The sequence below is a fragment of the Homo sapiens genome, chromosome 8, assembly GCF_000001405.40.
Source record: "Homo sapiens chromosome 8, GRCh38.p14 Primary Assembly".
Taxonomy (NCBI): domain Eukaryota; kingdom Metazoa; phylum Chordata; class Mammalia; order Primates; family Hominidae; genus Homo; species Homo sapiens.
Window position 1 is genome coordinate 84,851,050 of NC_000008.11, and position 20,391 is coordinate 84,871,440.

General features: G+C 35.5%; 1 protein-coding gene across 58 annotated transcripts in view; it reads left to right on the forward strand.

The window, feature by feature from the left end:
• Nucleotides 1-20,391, forward strand: part of RALYL (RALY RNA binding protein like) — a 739,058-nt gene that overhangs the window by 668,263 nt on the left and 50,404 nt on the right. For all 58 annotated transcript variants that reach the window (NM_001413301.1, NM_001413300.1, NM_001354325.2 and 55 more), the window contains one exon: nt 11,247-11,404. In NM_001413301.1, the coding sequence (NP_001400230.1) occupies nt 11,247-11,404 (158 nt within the window). The remainder of the gene's footprint in view (nt 1-11,246; nt 11,405-20,391) is intronic.

Consider the following 20,391-nt stretch of genomic DNA (forward strand, 5'->3'; position numbering starts at 1 on the left):
TGAGTTTCACATCTAGTATTATCACTCTTCGATTCTTTGCTGCATTTTCATCTTTGATCAATTCTTTCTTTTGATTATTCAATTTTGCAAAATGCCACGTTTTGTCACTGAGAGATAAGGAAGCATTACAATTAATGATCTGAAACAAGTGAGTGAAGTGAATAATCAATGAACAGCAAAAAAAATCATTGACAGACTTTGAAAGATGGAATGTGATTAGTGATCATTGTTATTATCATGCACATTTATTATTTATGCATTTATTTGTGGAAAAGCTAGAAGCAAAGTTTGGACTTTATTAAATTACTTACCGTTTATATGTTGTAGTAACTAAAATTTGTGTTGTCGGAGAACTGGTGTTATTTAACTAATATCAGTAACTGAAATTTATGCATATCAGAGATGAGGATCAACTATATATAGATAGATTACGGGATTAAAAAATGAGGTAAATATATTTTAAGCCTTTAATTATGAGTATTATGCAAACAACAAAAAAAACCTTAGGTACTGTATAAAAATGCAAACTTAGAAAAAATTTTTCAATAGATGTTTTAAAGAGGAAGTAACTGTGATCCTTGAAAGGGTCTTATTCTCTCTGCTCCAGCCTCTAGGGCCTTTTGTAAGTTCCACAAGAATTCCATGTTTCTTCCTGCCTCAGGTCCTTTCTCTGTGTTGTTCCATCTCCTCATACCTCCCTACACTACCTGGTTCACTTGACTCCTCATCTTTCAGATCTCAGCACGAACATCCCTCACAGATTAAATTAGGTTCCTCTGTTCCTCTCGCTCAGCGCCCAGCACTGTTACTTCACAGCACCTCTCCTAATTTCTATTGCTATATTTCTTTCTGCAGTGTTTGATTCATGTCTGTCTTCCTTCCCCCACCTGAACAATGTTCAGTTTTGCTTATCTTTGTATCCTTGGGGACTATCAGTAAACCTCACACATAGTGGATACTCTGTATTATTAATTCATCTCCTTAGATTTAGAGACACAGTCATTTTCCGAAGGTCACCAAGCTAATTAGTGACAGAACTATGATCATAATCTAGGCATCCAATTTAGATTCAATAACCAACTATGTGAATATGCACAATGGGGAGGGCAATATCAGCCTATGGAGCTATGCGATTCCTACTTGAGAATCAGACCCACAACTGTAACTTCATTGCTGCAATGGTCAAACTACTGAATTAAGCAACTTATTTCACTAGTTATCCTTTTCTGACAAAAAAATATAATCTTTAAGAATGATTTTCTCAAAGCATTTTATAATTTCTATAAAATATATTTTAAATATTAAGAAACTTATCATAACTTATTCTAAAAGTGATGCAAACATCTGGCAGCATTAAAATAATCCCATTTACTATTAAGGAAGGATATCTAGACTGTTTTTATACTATTTGAAAATGTTACTTTTTGACAAGTTTAAAGACATTTTCTACTATAGCTATTTTTTCACTTGCTACGAATAAAGTTTTCAATTAATATACATTGTCTTATACTCTGTCTATATAAAACCATTTTAGCATCTTTTATTTTCTATCATATGACTTCCTTATACATTTAAAGAATTTCCACCTAACATGGAGTTTTACTCTACACCGTAGGAGACCCAAGTTCTGGTTGTTACCGGAAAGGGGTCCCAATTCAGACCCCAAGAGAGGGTTCTTGGGTCTTGCAAGAAGTAAGTCAGGGCAAGTCCACAGCACAAAAGCAAGTTTATTAAGAAAGAAAGGTGGTGAAACTATAGCTACTCCATAGACAGAGCAGAGTATTCCCAGTATTCCCAAAAGTAAGAGGAAGGACGTGCCTGCCCTAGGTACAATGCTTGTTTATACATAGGACAACAACAACAACAACAAAAACCATGGGGAGTTGTGCTCTACTACAAGGGTTTGTGATAAAGGATACATTTTTCTAATTACTGCATTTTGCAAGAATCAATATGACTATCTTTAAAGCAAAATTAGGAATGCTTTTGTTCTGAAGATATGGAGATATCAAGACATTCCTGGGCCTGAGTCTGTTTAGTAAACATTATTAATCTGTTCTCTTAACCATAAACATCTAGGAGCTAGGAATAAATACCTAACCTCCTGGGAATGCAGCCCAGCAAGTCCCAGCCTCATTCTTCCTAGCCCTCACTCAAGATGGAGTCGCTCTGGTTTGAATGCCTCTGACATGGTAACTAGCCTTGTAACTTTAGGCAAGTCAGGTTTTCAGTTTTCTCATCTTTAAAAGGAAGCCAGGATTTGCATTTTACTATTTAGAAATGTTAGCTCAATAAAATCATTAGATTAGATAGGTGATAGATGGATGGATGGAGATAGATCGACAGATAGATAGATAGATAATCAATAGATCCATCTTACTTGCCAAAGAACAAGAGCTTTAAATAGTCAAATTATTAGAGAGGCTGTAGCTTTCAGGTGACTCTCTACTATACAAGAACTTAGCTACAGTATGAACAATTTTCAAAATCATTTATTTGTTTTGTGTACAATCTGTTTGGCATGGAAGTATGAAATAGATCAGTATGGTTGTATTGTTAACAGACTGAGCAGTCTGTGCTCTCGTTAGTTTATTTTCCATTTTTGGCACTTGGCTAAGAAAGACATAAGCATCTGCCACTAGTGGATATACTCAAGAGTTCCCTATAAACATAGAATACCATGAAATAAAAACAGAATGGAGAGGCTGGACAAGATACATAGCTTACAGAGTCACTACTAATCCACAGTCATTTCTCATAAGTTACGGTCTTCTTGCATTTGTGTTTTCTTTTTCTCTCTCTCTTTTAGCAGAGGTGCAAACTTGGGCAAGTTAGTTAATATCACAAAATCTGTTATGTCCTCTGGGAGGTGAGCATGAAATTAATTCCTAACTCATGAAATCATTCTAAGAATTAAATGAGGTAACATAATGATCAGCATTATGCCTGGTATTTTTTAGTGCTTAATCAATATTAGCTAGTATTAACAGTTAACAGTAACCATTAACAATAATGGGGCCAGGCGCGGTGGCTCACGCCTGATCCCAGCACTTTGGGAGGCCGAGGCAGACGGATCACCTGCAGTGGGGAGTTTGAGACCAGCCTGGCCAACATGGTAAAACCCCATCTCTACTAAAAATACAAAAATTAGCCAGGTCTGGTGGTGGGCGCCTGTAATACCAGCTACTCAGGAGGCTGAGGCAGGAGAATTGCTTGAACCCAGGAGGCAGAGGTTGCAGTGAGCCGAGATCGTGCCACTGCACTCCAGCCTGGGGACAGAGCGAAACTCCGTCTAAAAAAAAGAAAAAGAAAAAGGAAGAAAAAGAAAAAAAAATAATGGTAGATGTATTTCTCATATTGACATTCATACAGCAGTGTCCATATAACTGAGAAACAAACTGGTTGGTCAGTTTTTCTTCCATTATAGCTGATTTGGGACATCTCTGGATTATTCTGTTTTCCCAGTTTTCCCTCTCCTACTCCCCCAAAGCATTCCGGCTGCAGCTGATCACACTTGCCTGCAGAGAGCGCTCAGCTGTTTCTGTTAACCCCATGCTGCTTGTTTAGATCATGAAAACAGAAATTACACTACTTACGTATAACAGGGCTAATTGCATATAGAAACTCGTTAAGTCGGTATTAAAGAACTGAAAACGCAAAAAGACAACACTGTGATATACTGGAGTTAGTGACTGCAGGAAGCTGCTACCACTTCTAGGGCTGGAGAAACAAAGGAAGATTTGGGGTCTCAGAAATTGCTGTAGAAAAAGAGCCTACCAGAGCTGAAACTATGCATAGGAGATTCTGTTCAGATGGTGCTGCTGTGTCTGAGTCCACAAGGAGAACCTGTGGTGCTGACACCCAAATCTCTGAGATGGGGATATGGGCTGACAGGTGCTGGGGTCTTTGAGGGAGCGTGGAGTGGCTGTTCTCCAAGTGTTGCAAAATTACTCAGACTGGATTCTGCTGATGCTACTGGAATGAATTGTTGTTGCCAGGATGAAGAAACTAGATTGGGGTAATGCTGAAAAGAGCAGGAAGCCAAAACACAAATAAAAAGCAAAACAAGAAGGAGCAGGTCCCTTTTCCTTGCTCCAACCTTGCAGTCTCTTTCTTAGGTCCTTTATTGGCTGAGCCCAGCAGGGAGCTAGCTGCCCAACCCCAACCCTAACCCTCACCTCCGGAAGTGTGGTTTTCAGAGTTCCAAACCCATCATCTGTGGCTAAGGGTAGGTCTGAAACCAAGAAACAATAGCTTAATAACTAACATATGTCCACATTATATTGTCATACTCTTTCTGCCAGGTTTGGAGACTCTAATGTGATTGAGGGTTTCCAACCCTTAGATAGTTTTAGCTTAGAAAACTTCTTTACACAATGTTCCACCTTACTGTGATTCATTGACCTGTCTATTCGTGGTTTCAGGGATCATGAAGAGTATCATTAAACAGTAGATGAGTGGTTATTCTAAATTCTTATCTTTTCTCTTTTACACAAAGCATTGCCCAATAATTTACAGCATTGAATGGCATTTTCTTTTAAAGGTCCATATATGACTCTAAATGTAGGACATTGTATGTTAATACATTAAACGTAAGTATTTATACTCTAGCAAAGTAAAAGGAGATGTATACCTAAAATTATATTTAATCTCCCTAGGGAAAGTTTTTAACTTCTGCAATGTTAGCTGTCTAAATCCAACCTCTTTTTTCAATAATATTAGGAAAAGCACTGATCAGTTTATAATTTCCAGTGATAAGGAGACTTTTATTAACAGAGAAAAACAAATGCCACAGGTGTTTTACTTCTATGTAAAACACGTATACATTTTAAATGATCCAAAATAGGCATTGTTCAATTCTGGAACCATTTTGACTTTGTGTTAATTGATCCAAGAAACTACTAGATTTGCAGTTAACGCAAGAACACTAAGTTACAGTTGTTTCAGATAGTTGATTAGAGAGCACAATATATATTCATGAATATTGGAAAACATATTAACAAGAAACAATGTTTTGTTATGCAAATTTGAACTATCCTCTGGTAGTATGGTATTCCATTTGAAATGTTTGAAAATAACAGCATGGTACACTTGACAAATGGTATTATTTGGAGTCAGAAGACATGAATTTCAGGACTAGATGCACATGTGTTGACTGGTTAAGCTTGGATAAGTCATCTCTTTTTTGTGCCAGTTTCCTTCCTGGGCAAAATGGCTTCACACTACTGACCTTACAGAATTACAAGAATTAAATGAGAAAATCGTTTTAGTGGCTTATAACCCCACAACAACATTTGAATTTATTAACTTTTTAATTACACAAAGCTGTATACAAAATGTACAGTTAGCAATGTTAGATAAAATACAGACTGTATTAGAATCAAAATATTGCAAAAAAGATCATTCAAGATTGCAATCAACTTGCCTTTAAAAGCATGTTCAAGAAGTATTTCCGTGTGATCCAAGGAGAAAACTTCACAGAAAACCTTGGAAAATTTAATAACAAAAAAGATCAATGGAATTTACTCATTTACTGGTCTCAGGTAGAGTGTGCCTTTTAAAATTATTTTCTGATTCAACTGTAACCAAAGATTTATTTGAAGTCAGAGTAGAAATTATAGGCAGAGTTTATGAGTTTTGAGTAGTTTAAACAGTACAGGGAACAGATACACTACCAGCCTATAAGAATTATTTGTGGGCCGGGCGCGGTGGCTCACGCCTGTAATCCCAGCACTTTGGGAGGCCGAGGCGGGTGGATCATGAGGTCAGGAGATCGAGACCATCCTGGCTAACAAGGTGAAACCCCGTCTCTACTAAAAATACAAAAAATTAGCCGGGCGCGGTGGCAGGCGCCTGTAGTCCCAGCTACTCGGGAGGCTGAGGCAGGAGAATGGCGTGAACCCGGGAAGCGGAGCTTGCAGTGAGCCGAGATTGCGCCACTGCAGTCCGCAGTCCGGCCTGGGCGACAGAGCGAGACTCCGTCTCAGAAAAAAAAAAAAAAAAAAAAAAAGAATTATTTGTGTAGATTTCAAATCTATCCCTTCTTAGAAATGAATAGGCACCTTACTTTGGTTTTATATACTGTACATCTGTCAAAGTTAAGCATAATGAAAAGGAAGGCTGGAGGTTGAATCAAGACATGGAGCAAGATCTTCTCTGGTCCTCTGGTTATTGATCTTTGTAGAGCTACTGAAAGGTGCTGGTGAGAATATGGCCCTGAATTTGTTATCAGGTTTTGCCTCTGGGTAGCCCAGAAATTTTAGCCCCCTAGGGAAGACCAAATATTTTTGTTAGCATCAACTACTTAGTAACTATAAGTTTTGATTCATGAACAAGGAAAAAGAAGAATTGTTTTCATGAGGGCAATTTAGAAAGAAACAGGTAAATACCAGAAAATGTTTGAAGTTACTACTAATCTAAAATGAAAATTTAATATTCAGTAATAAAATACAACACACATATTACATTTTTCAGTTTCTTTTCTTGTGTTTTAAACCACGTTTGTTGACAGTAAAATATAAGCATCAAGTCAGAAGTTTAGCCATCAGGTAATGATTTATTAGAATGTGGTGTATCTACCTGAGAAAATGCCCCACAGCCATTAAAATAAACATTACGAAGACCATTTAACAGGCCTGAGAAATGTTTGTTTTTAATATAAACCAAAGAGAATGAGCTAGAATACATGACTGTACATATATTATGTTTTCAATTATGTGAAAAATATGGATGCTTATAAAAACAGATTAAAGAATTATAGTAGTTGTTCTGGGGTCTGAGACTTAGAATTGTAGTTTTTTTATGTACTTTTTTTTCCCAAAATGTTACTTTATTATTGCTAAAGCTTAATAATAACAAGTTCTTTTTTAAAAAAGACACTTAAAATAATGTTTGCTTTGTTAATATGCCTTTGTCCAAAAGGCACTTAGTTTTTAAATTAAATTACCTTTGTCCAAAAACAATTATTGTTTAAGAACAGTAGATGAAATCAAATGTCCTTATTCTTCCTAGAGAAAAGTTGTCTATTTTATCAAATAAACTACTATTAAAATTAATATTACCAGTTTTTAGCTTTTGCTAGCTAATAAAGTTACATATGTCAGATATTATTTAAAGCATTAAAAGGCAAAATAAGAAAAGGGTACATAGAAAATAGAAATGTTTATTAAATAAAGAAATTAAATTCTCAAATTTTCTCCATGAGTTGGTTTTATTAAAATTGGACTGAATTTTTTAAATTTATTACTTGACAGCAGGTGTTTTAGAGTTTTCACTGTAAAATGGACCTTGAGGAAAGAATTATTATTATATGTTTGGCTTCATTATAAACCATTATCTATTTGATGAGTAAGTATTTGGGAGAAAATTATCCTGACCAAGAAATATTAGGGAAAATTAAGGGCTATTAAAGGAAAGGAGTGGAAATATAAATCCAAAGGGTAAGGAACAAGAAAAACAAGAGGAAGGAAAAAAATTAAAGCTTTTCACTAGCCTGGAGATTTAGATTCCATTTAATTCTGCTGGATTGCCATTTCTGCTGTCAGTCTACAATCTTAAATGAACTAGTTCCTTAGTCTCAATACTATTTGCCAATCTAATATTTGATAAAGGTAAAATTTCTTTGATTTACTGTAGGCCGAATTCTGATGAGAAGGCCAATACCTGTCTTTCTTGGGCTGCCTTTCACCTACTTCCCTCTATATTTTGAAGAACCCCTATATCCCATCTTGCAATCGCAGAAAGCCTTCCCCGCTTTCTATCCTTGTCTTGTTATGTTTTTGTACATTAGGACAACATCCAGTCTTCCCTCCTTTTATTTCTAATTGACTCAAGAGTGCCCAATGAAAATTAAGAAAGTCTTCAGGTCCATTAAAAGTTGTAAAATTAAAAATTATGCCCTCGTGTTAGCCCATGTTACTGGTGGAGGATGTCCAGGTTCTTGAACAAATAATTGGGCAAAACGCACAAACAAAGGAAGGAAAGAATGAAGTAACAAAAGCAGAGGTTTGTGGAAAATGAAAGTATACTCCACAGGGTGGGAGCCAACCGAGCATAAGGGCTCAAGAGCCTGGTGACAGAATTTTCTGGGGTTTAAATACTCTCTACAGGTTTCCCATTGGTTGCTTGGCATACACCCTATGTATATTAAGTAGTGGCCCACAATCAGTCCGATTGGTTGCGGGAGGGGACCAATCAGAGGTACTTTCAATTTTTCATCGGCCATGCAGAAAAAGGTGGCAGGATGAGGAGGGGCGCAAAGGGAGTAGCCTCTGGTCCTTTTGTTACTTGGGCGTAGAAAGGTGGGGTTTTCCTTTTTATTTAGTTCTAGGAAGTCAGCATGAAACAGCCTTAGGTTCCCTGCCTCCAGACCCTATTCTCCTGCCTCACGCATTCCCAATTTTGTTTTGTGAATGACCTATCACATTAAAATATTTAAGTCCTGATGCTGCCCAACGTCCCATCAAAGTGGAAGAAAGAATTGGTAAAACGTTACCCAATACCTTGGTGAAAGTCATCCAGCCAGGCTTGGTGGCTCATGCGTATAATCCCATTATTTTAGGAGCCCAAGTTGGGCAGATCACTTCAGTCCAAGAGTTCGAGACCAGGCTGGGCAATATGGCAAAATGCTATCTCTACAAAAAATACAAAAAAATTTATCCAGGCACGGTGGCATGCAGTAGTCCCAGCTACTTGGGAGGCTGAGGTGGGAGAATTGCTTGAGCCCAGGAGGCAGAGGTTGCAGTGAGGTCACACCACTGGTCTCCAGCCTGGGTGACAGAGTGACACTCTGTCTCAAAAAAACAAGAGAGAGAGAAAGAAAATTAGTCATTTTCCTTTGAAGTAACTCACCAAAATATTCAGAGAACAGGCCACTCACCATAGGAATTTATACCAAAGGAAAGTTGTTTAGTAAAGTACTAAGTATATTACTAAAATGTATGCCCCATACTAAAAGCATATCATAAATACAGTGAGCAAGTATGGCTCTTTCTCAGCATAAGATCAGGCCATGCCACTGTTGGAGGTTTGGTAATCCTTGGCTGGGGGAAGCAATAGAAATATTGATAAACATTTTTGTTTCCTATAAAAGTAGTATTAAATTACATTGCAATTAAAGTAGCAGTGAATATAGTGAACTTTACTTGGCCTGTATTTTTACTATAGCACTCTTACATCATTGTATATTTTGATTGTGTTTTAGAGATTTTCTTAACCCAATTTATAGATTGGCTTGTTTAGTGAACCTGTAAAACTACACATTGGTGTCCTAGGGAAATGGTCCTGCTAAAAGAGCTTGCCTTTCATTTCAAGCAGCAACTTCTACTCTAGAAGAGATCAGTCAATTGCCATATTTTCTTTTCACTCAATAGTTTTGGGTGTTATAGCTCATGCAAAGTGCCTTTGTATTTTGGTTCACTGACTTAAGGTGCTCTGTGAATTCAACTTATAAATAACTAATGTAGATCTTGTTTTGTGATTGAAATGAGGGGCAGGTCTAGCTGACCCTTTTGATTCTCAAGCCCCTAGTGGTATGGATGATATTCATAACCCTTTTCAGCCTCATCCTGCCTGTGCTCTTTGAAGTAAACTATTATGTGTTGACATCCATGACCTGTTCTTTGCTAGCTGTTCTTCAGCTCTAATGGACTTTGCTTAGTCACAGAAGATGGCACCTCTCTTGAACTCTGTCTCATTTCATTTCTTTTCCTTTCCAGATATCTCTTAGTTTTTTCCCCAGCATGTTCTAAATCATTTTCGAATACCCTAAGTCTCTAATGTAGGAGATATTCTTAATACTAAGGAATTTTGCTTTAAATTTGGTTTAATAGTGCTTTTTGCGCTTCCCTCACCTCACAGTATAATAGTTTTAAATGTCTCTAAATGAATATTTGGAAACCAGTCTATCTTAACTTTTATTATATTTCATATATTATTTCCTAAAAATAGATGATCACATTTTCATCTGTATGTATAAACAAGATGTAATTTTATGAATTAACCTATTATAGAACTTGTTTTTTTTATTTTCTTCCCATTCTAGTTTCTCATTTCTGACTTTCATATTAGATTGTTTTTATTGACTGTTTTAAAGTAATTATAAGAATGTAATCCAATATTTTATTCTGTCACAATAAAATATGTAACAATCATAATTCTAAGTCAATAATGCTATTTTCTTTATAGTGAATAACGTAATTACATGTCTAGTTCACTGGAAAATAGTCATGAAAATGAGGAAATGTATCCCAGTATTTTTTCATTGACCTTTTAGGTTACTCAAATGTGCTGTCATATAAAAATCTGTTGTATATGTGGATGCAGTACAAATAATATGAAGCTTCTGAATCTATGAATTATATATTTTTATAAATGAGTTAACCCTTATACCTTGATTCCTTTCATTGTTTAATGGAAATTAATTGATTGTGGTGAATATCATTTTTCACTTTTCCGCAAAGGTTTTAAGTTTTATTGATTTTTTTGTTAAATATGCTTGTAATATCTAACTATAAAATATCTCTAGTCTCAATTTGCAAATCTAACAAATGGTCAGAATAATTAAAAGATATCTTGATAAATATTTCCCACCGTAAGTAGTCAACAGTTTTATCCTCACGCTAGCTTCATGTCATTCAAACTGTCTCCTTTTGTCTGCAATCAGAGGAGACTTTGTTACTGAAAAGATTCTTAAAGTGAGCTGAAGCACCATATTGATTTGTCTGTCATAGCTGTTTTCTTGAAGCTGGTTTTACTTTTTATCTTGCTGGGCTGTTTACTGTTTGAACAGTAATTTTATTTCTTTGTTCCTGTTCTGCAAGATCTTTTCCTCTTTTAAACTAATGTGCTAATAAGTGTTTGATGTGTAAGAGGAATATTTCTGTTCATAAGAAGTGTAAATCTGTTTTACCAAGCAAAGAAATATATTTAGGAATGAAGGTCAGCATAATTTCAACAAATTGCATGGTACTGTTGGAGCAAAGCTCCTTGTCCTTTCATACCTTACAAATGAGTTCCTCTTGGAGGTCACACTCTAAAGTCCAGAAAGCATAGACTATATTAGCATCTATTTTCTTAGTGAAAATTAAATCTGCCAATAAATACCTGCATCTGAATATTAGAGAACAGCAGCAGAAAGAAAACATTTATTGAAATTTTCTACCAGGACATTCTGTTCAACATTTCACATATTTGATAGAACTCTCGGGCATCAAACCAACTCTCAGTCCCATTTGTGTTTTGTAAAGGTTATTTGATTACCACGGGCGTGTGCCTCCACCTCCCCGTGCAGTAATTCCGCTGAAGCGTCCCAGAGTGGCAGTCACAACGACTCGCAGGGGGAAAGGAGTCTTTTCCATGAAAGGTGGATCGAGATCTACTGCCAGTGGGTCAACAGGTTCTAAATGTAAGTAATGTCCTTCATTTTATTTCTCTTTAAAGAAGGGAGTGATTAACTATCATTGCACGAATGCCTATATTCAATAAATTAACCAGATAGTTATGAAGGACCTGCTATGTATAAAGTGTTAGAAAATCATAAGATGGATAAAAAATGGTCTCTGCTTTCCACCATACTGTGTTGCAGTAGGGGAGACAAACACAAAAATGTCTAACAAAAATCCAGGACCAATTTGAAAAGTATTTTATCAGAGCAAATAACACTGTGCTCTTGGCTTAGCTTGTGATATATTAAAGTACTGAAATATAATATGTTGCTTTTAATGAAGAAATAATTTTACTTCCAAAGGGAGTGCATAAACTGTCTTTTCAGAGAAACATACAAAATTAGTTCATGGTTTGAATATTTGAGCAATTAAGAGAGGCAAACTATAGAGATGTTAAAAGCATAATTTACCATACAGTGATAAATTATGATAAGATATATGTATCTGAAGATATATTTAATGTCATAAAAAGTAAAATAATATTTGCATAGTTTCACATTAATTAGTAAAAAGCAGCGATACAAACTTTCCAACTAAACACATTGCTAAATTTTTATATGGAGTGATACAGAAAAAAATTTTATTTGTTAGAATATTATTCATAAAGAAAGGATAACAAAATTTCCCATATTCCTTGAGATTGCCTTTTATCAGAAAACAAACAGATAATAAGCTGACCTATAGGTAAAAGAATAAACACATAGAGAAAGTTGAGAACACTATATTTCATTGACTGAGGTGACATTTGAGTGGAAACCTAAAGGAAGTGAGGAAAAGAGAAAGTGACCTTGAAACTGTCAGAGACAGAGCATTCTGTGGAGAGAAAATGGTCAGTGCAGAGACCTTAAATTGAATAGTCAAGGAACAATAAGGAAGCCAGTGTGGCTGCAACAGAGCCGAGCCAGAGAGAGAAAGTCTGGCTGGGGATCAGGTCAGAGAGTTAGACACAGGGCAAGTTCCAATGCAGCTTGGTAAGCCGCCGTAGAGACTTGGATTTACTCTGCATCCCAACCATTTAAGACAAGTAAGGCAAATACTATTATCCCAGTTTTATTGATGAGTAAACACAGAAAGTCATATAGCTAATAGACATAGTAGAGTCTCTTAGTTCTTATGCCTATGTGCTATCTGCTGTAGAACACTGCCTTTTATTTCAGCACTATACTGAGATAGAATCACTATTGAAACACTTTGTTTTTACAAAATGCAGTTCAAAATGCAGGAAGGTACTGATGCTTCTGAAAAGGCTAAAGTTTGTTGTACTCAACAAACTTTGTGGACCTAACTAAGATAACTTCAATAGCACACTAAATAGATTTATGGATTTCTATGTAATTATGTATTCATGTATCTATTCTGTAGATAGATAAATATGAATTCCATTTTGAGTCTTAGTAATAAAAGAAAAGGAGTTTCTGCAACTCGTTGGAGGTTAGGTCACCCCAATGTGGAGTATACACAAGTTTCTATCTCTCAAAAAGTCTCCAAGTGTTGAAAATTTCAATGACTTATTTCTTACATTGGAAAAAATAAACCATGAAGGGACTTTTATAGAAAGACAAATTACCAAAGTCAGCTACTTGGAGAAATAATGTGAAGAGACTTTACAGTTTGTAACCATTACAACATGTAACATAAGAATCTATCCTTAAGTCCAATGGTAAATCACACATGAGGTTTAATTTCATCTTTTCTTTGTGTGTGTGTTTGTGTGTGTGTGTGTGTGTAAGATGCGACAGTCTTGAAAAAAGGCTAAATCTGAAAATTGGACTACTAAATACAAACTAGAGATATTTTGAAAGAAATGTGGTGTGTTTTATTTTTTAGCAGCAATCATTCTTTGGAACTGTGTATCCTAGAGTATCTCTGTTATGCTGGAAAGATATAGATAAGCAATAGGTAGAAATATAAATTATGGGATAAAAAGATTTTGTAAGGACAATCAAGACAAATGATCATTTAAAATCTATTCAGCATGTTATAATTGTGTTAATTTTACTTACTTTTGTGAAGTGGTGTATCTTTATTATATTGAGGTTAAATCAAAAGGAAATGTTTCATATAAAGCACTGGGGAAAATCACTTTAAAAGATTTATCCTAAGGATTAAATCTAAGCTTGGAGGTAGAATAGTCATGTGGTTTCCAGCATCAATAAGATAGCTCCAAGGGATTACTGCAGAGAGACAGGCAAGCCATAGGCTATAGGTGCAACCCCAGTAAGATACTTGAGTCAGGGAGCTTGGCAGGCCTGGTTTACATGGTAGAAAACAGGGGCCCCTGGGCCTGCTCCAAGCCAGCCCTGCAGCAGAGCTTCTGTGTAGTAGTCAATGTCATGGTCAGTCACATCCCAGAGAGTACCCAGAAACAAGGGGCAGCCAGCCATGATGTACTTGAGCATGATGCCAGCCCCCTGTTATTATAGAAAGACAACAGACTGATCTATTCTATTCATTTCATATAGTTCTATAAATTTAGAGCTCAAGTCACAAAAGCTAACTGTTGATTAGTGTTACTTTAGTGAAACATTAATAAAAATTTATAATTCACTGGCAAGCATAACTAGAATCATGATTTAATATTCTTTTTAGGAGCATATTGGCAGATTACATTATGTATACATATATGTAAATAAAATATATATGTGCATGTATAAATATTCATTAATTTATAGTACTTTTTATAATTAGGTTGGTTTCTGGAAATAACAAAAGTTTCTAACTCAAATCACAAATGAAAAGTATCAGTGAAATTTAAAATATACTATGTTAATATTGAAATAATTTGAATAAAGATTTACTAAGGTATATAGCTTGCTCTTTAATTAATAGCTCTTTCCAGCATTTAATGGTTTGGCAAGTTCAGAAGAGGAAATTAATGTTATAGCTTGGATAATTTGTCATTTCTTATTTCAGAATTTGTAATATGACTGAATTCTGCTAAGGAGAAAACTATATAAAGAAAATATATTAATGTCATAATTTACCAAAAATGAATACTGATAAGCATTTAAAATGAACTGCTTTAAATAGATTGCCACTAGGCATTTCTGTCCCTTTTAAAATCAAATTGAACTAAAACTATAATCAGCTTGTCCTTTCCTGACATCATAGAGTCATAAAATAAAGAAAATGTGACATTGCAGATTAGCATTTTACAAAAGAGAAAACATGAATATCAGTGAGCTTTAGCTGTAGTTTCTTAGTGGAAAAATTGATGCCCTCTGGAAAAAAAAATTCGATCAAGTCAATTTCTTTAAAGAATTAATTTAAATTCTAATGTCTAACAAGAAAGACTCTAGTAAGTTTGAATGCCTTTGGGGACCTGTCAATGCACTTTCAGTGACAGAATAGGTGACAAACTAATATAAATGCCCTGAAGCATCTAACAGGAAATTAAAGACAATTCAATTAAAGTTAAAATTGAGAATTTATCCCCAATGCTAAGAAGGCTTTCTTATGTTGGGTTCCTCCCCTCAAAAGTATGATTGAAATACAGCGATAAAGCATCAACCAGAGAAATAATATTAATACTCAGCAACATATCATTAAACATTCCCATCCATCCATTATCCTAGGCAAAGTATATTCTGCTTTAGAGATTTTTAAAGAGAGAATGTACTATTGGCCGGAAAGGTTAGAGAAGGCTTAACAGAGGATTTTGAACTGAGTTTAGATGAGCCAGTAGATTCTGAAAGATAGAATGAGAGATACTTGCTTTCTGGGAGACAAGATCTGGGTGGAGAAGAACAGAGGCTTTCCTGTCAGATTGCCTGGAGTGGAGTCTGTTCCATAGTATACTACCATCGTGGCCTTGGGGAAATCCTTTAACCCCTATATACCTCTAATTTCTACCTGGAAATTGAAAATAATATACTGTGTATCCAATAGTTATTGTAAGAATTGAATTACTTATGTATATAAAATGCTTAGGCACATAGTAATGTTCAATGAGGTTAATTATTGCTACTACTATAATTATTATAGCAGTTAAGAGTATTAAATATGAAATTGCTGAACCTAGAATCCAATAGTGCCTCAGCCATTTATTATGTGTGTTTTGCAGCAAGGTACTTGCTTGCTGTGCCTTAGTTTCCTCATCTATAAAATGGGAATGATAATCTTACTGCCTTCTCTGTAGAGTTCTGAGGATTGAATGAGCCAGCACATGTAGAGCTCTTAGAACAGTGTCGGCTAATATAAAAGCCTTAATAGATAATACTGTGACAGTAAAAATAATAACTATTATTATCTGAAGTGAAGATTTACTGCTAGGAATGTCAGTTAATAAACTGAGGACATTATTATTAAACAAGATATAAAAATGGGTAAAAGGATAATGAAAAACTGTGCAGAGTATTGAAGGGTTCAGATTTCATGCAGGGCCAAGATAAAAAAATTCTCAGCAAAGTGCTACCTGCTCAAAATGATATTTTAGGACATCTATATGATGGGTGGCATTAGTTGGCGAGGGCTGCCATAACAAAGTACCACAGTTCGGGTGGCTTAAACAACAGAAATTTATTTTATCACAATGATGGAGGCTGAAAGTTGGAGATCAAAGTGTCAGAAGGCTTGGTTCCTTCTGATGGCTGTGAGGTAAGGATCTGTGTCAGTCCTCTCTCCTTGACTGGTAGATGACCATCTTCTCCCCATGTCTTCACACTGTTTTCTCTCTTTGTGTGTCTTGTCTAATAAATTTCCTCTTGTTATAAGGACAAGTTTAGACCCCTCTATGTTACAAGGGCATCACCTGTCCTCTAACTTCAGGCCAGTTGTTCGTTTTTTTATTATGGGACTTACACTTTTCTGCTTCATGTTATAGTTATTTGTATGCACATCTAATCTTTCTATTTTCAATTACAAATTCATTCAAGTTAATTATGCTTTGCACAGATTATACTCTTAAACATTTGTGAAATGTGACATCACTACTATTTTTGCTTTTTGCATTTTACTTTTTGTCATACATTTTATATTTGACTTTGAACCAAATCTTTAGAAATGCTACAGTTCAGAGAAAATTAGTTACAGAATATGTTGCATCAGTCGGTGAAACAAGGGGACAAATTCTGGCCTACACTCCAGGGTCTAAAAGAAATCAGTATGACGTGTATTTTCAAGCTATGTGATTTGAGATCTGCTACTTCTGTTACTTAGAAGACTGTTTTTGCTTGCTGAAATCTAAAGTATCTTTTCAGTCATAACTCAAAAACTCATTCTTTTGTGACTATTTTCACAATCAGTTATCATCAAAACTAATTTATCTTTTTTCTTTGCCCACATAGCTGATACAAGTTCAATTAATCAGCACCTAACACAGACAGGTACTAATTTTCCATTGACGAAATAGACATGAGCCCTGAGGAACTATTTCATAGACAAAATAGACATGATCTTTCATTTTCAGGCACTTATATCTGGTCGGGGGCAGGGGGGACCAGAAAATTTAAAAATGTGAGATAATTTCAATATCAGGTGACAGAACATTTTTACTATTTCTCTTTTTTTTGTATTTTATATGCATAATAATAAATTAGTTACATGTTTCTTGTCTGTCACTAGTTATAGAGTCCATGAGACCAGGGAGGCAGTTCACCATGATGGGCAGTGGGGGGTAGGAGGGTGGGACCTATATACCCATGGCTTTGGAGTCAGGCAGCCCACTCTAAACTTGAATTGTTGCCTATTGGCTAAAGCAATCTTTTTAAAGAACACTTAAAAAATTTTTTTAGAAATAGAGTATCACTCTGTCACCCAGGCTGGAATGCAGTGGCATGTAACCTCAAACTCCTGCACTCAAGCTATCCTCCCACCTCAGCCTCCTGAAGAACCAGGAATACAGGTGCATACCACCATGCCTGGCTAATTTCCTTATTTTTTGTGGAGTTAGGGATCTCAGCATGTTGCCCAGGCTGATCGTAAACTCCTGGCTCAAGCAACTCTCCTGCCTCAGCCTCCTAAAGCACTGGGATTAGAGGCTGAACAACTATGCCCAGCCTGCTAAGCAATCTTAATTAAACACATTACTTAACTTCTCTAATATTCACTATTCAAATCCAAAAGTAAGTTTAACAATTCTGATTTGCATATTGGGAATAAATTAAATGATACACTTGCAGCTTCTAATGAAATGCAAGATGAACAGATGCATATAGTAGGCATTTAATGAATACTTACTGAATAAAATCCACTCATTCTCCATTTCATTTTCTTTCTAAAAAATATAGAAAGAATGGGTATAGATGTATGTAGGCATAAGTATTATGAATACATATATATGCATATATATGTAATTCCCTGTTCTAGGAAATTTCATCTATGGGGTGGGTGATAACCAGTTGCTGCAATTTATTTTAGCAAAATACTTTAAAGTTTGACTTTTGAAAACTATTTTCTAGACTAGCAAATTAGCCTTTTCATATTAAATTAGCTTCAAAAATTGTATTATGTATTATGTTACAAGGGTATCACCTGTCCTATAACTTCAGGCCAGTTGTTCATTTTCTTATTATAGGATATTTATATATATATATAAAGAAAGGGACAGATGGGAGCAGAGCGGAGGCGTTGAAGTGATCATGATAAAGAGTTCCAGGAACCTTCCTTTTCTTTTTCTGAATATTATTGAATTAAGCACAGTGATTCCTTGATCATATTTTTCACATCAACTGAAGCTGCATGGCACAATAAAAAATATAGAATTGAAAGTAAGAAAATCTAGGTTTGAGCCTAAACTCTTACCTGTGCATATCACATGACTTTGGGAAAATCATGTACATCATCAGATTCTCAGATTCTTTATTGTTGAAATACTGTATTTAAAACTGATTTATAAATTAAGTGATATGCAAATTTTATTTATTTCTTTGTTTTGGACATTCAAATAATGTATAATGGCTGGGGAAAATAAATAACAAATTAATGTGATTTACTGTCAAAGTCCACATGATTATAAACATTTTTCAGTTTTCTAAATAGTTGATAGGAAGCATGGTATTGGTAAGGGAGGTTATATCTAGAGCAGGGTTTCAATAGTTTGGCATGATCGGCATTTGGGGTCAGATAATTCTGTGATGCGGTGTGGGCTATCTTGTGCACTGTAGGATGTTGAGCAGACTAAATCCTCACTAGAAGCCAGTAGGACCACCCCCTCCAAGTCATAACAAGGAAAAATGTCTCCAGACACAGCAGAATCTCTCCTGCAGAGCAAAATCACCATGTTAAGAACCACGGATCTAGACAGTTAGCTGAAACTTCTTTATTTACCCTGAATAGACTTGACCCAAAGATGATTAAAATAAATTGAAATATTTTTGGCCACATAAGTCAGAAATGCACAGATTTTTATATAGACAGATGATATCATCCCGTGTGCCTAATATTCTTTTTGGATTATATCTTATGTCACAGCAGAAGGCACAATCATTTTGTCAACTGTATCAGAATGTAATAACATTTATCACCAAATCAATGAACTCTATAGAGAGAGCAGATCTGAAATGACTTAATGTGACTTATTTTTAAAAACAAAGATACTACAGTGATAGTGATGCAACCTGACTTCTATTTCTCTAGTGTTCTTCTTGCCTAAAAATAAGCTAAAGTAATTTGTCCTAGGAACTTTGTAATTTTTTTAATTTATCATTTTGCTGATTTTTGTTTGGTAATTCTAAATTCAAGCCCTATAATCACTCATAGAAAAATAAGTTGTCCTCAACAAGACAACCAGAGATTTTTATTATGACAGTATGTTTGCTTTTGTGTATAATTTTTTTTTTTTTTTGAGTCAGAGTCTCACTTTGTCACCCAGGCTGGTGTGCAGTGGTGCGATCTTGGCTCGGTGCAATCTCTGTCTCCTGGGTTCAAGCAATTCTCTGCCTCAGCCTCCCAAGTAGCTGGGATTACAGGTGCGTGCCACCATGCCCAGCTAATTTTTGTATTTTTAGTAGAGACGGGGTTTTACCATGTTTGTGTATAATTTTTGACAAGTTTTTTTTGTGGTAAAATTTATCTAGAGAAAAAGAGCAAAAGATATTTTTCCTGTGAAGATAGTATTACCAATGTCTTCTAAAATATCTGTAATGTATATATATATATATATATATATGCTCAACTACTAGAGAATAGTAAGCAAAAATAGGGATTTAATATAATTCACTGTGCAGGAGAGAAGTTGTTAACAGGAGGGGAAAAAGTAGAAAACAAAAGCAGAAGAGAGCTAGAAAGAGCAGTACATGAGAGATAGAGGAGGTTCATCCCAGGCATTCCATCTAGAAACCACATGTAATAGCACAAAACCGTACCCCATATATAGATAGTGACTCTGCATGAAGAAAAGTAGAAAGTGGACTAAGGCCAATTGGACTAGGTAAGGGGCAAGCCTTTTCCCAAGGACAGCACTGAGATATTGAAGTGTGATGAGGAAACGACTTCTACAACTGCTCAAGAGGCAGCCAAGACTATTTGTAGAGCCTGCTTTGCAGGACCTAGATGAGCATTTGCTGCCCCCCCATTCTAAGAGGGAACTGAGCAGCCTGCATAGGGTTAGAGGCTCACTTTAACATTTCCTGGTAGGGTCCAGGAAAGAACTGACAGGATTTCCGTGTTACATTTCAACATTGTTTCTTGAGTAACATTAACTTATTAGACCCAAATTCCATAATAATCCAGCTGAGATCTGAAAGATGTTCTTTCAGTGCTAGACCTGAGTCTAGACTTAAATGAAACCTTGGCTCCCTGGAGACTTCTAAGTTCCAGCCAGATGAGTCTATATTGTTTTCTAATGTAGTTTCAATAAAGTGGAGTAGTAGTGGTTTATTGGCTTGTTTTTTAAGGCAATACATAAATTAAAATTAGTCAACTGCATTCCTGGGCTAAGGAGTAGCTCTAGTTGCTAAGAAATATATTCTGTTAGTTTTCAGCTATAGTCCTATTTATTTCTCCTGCA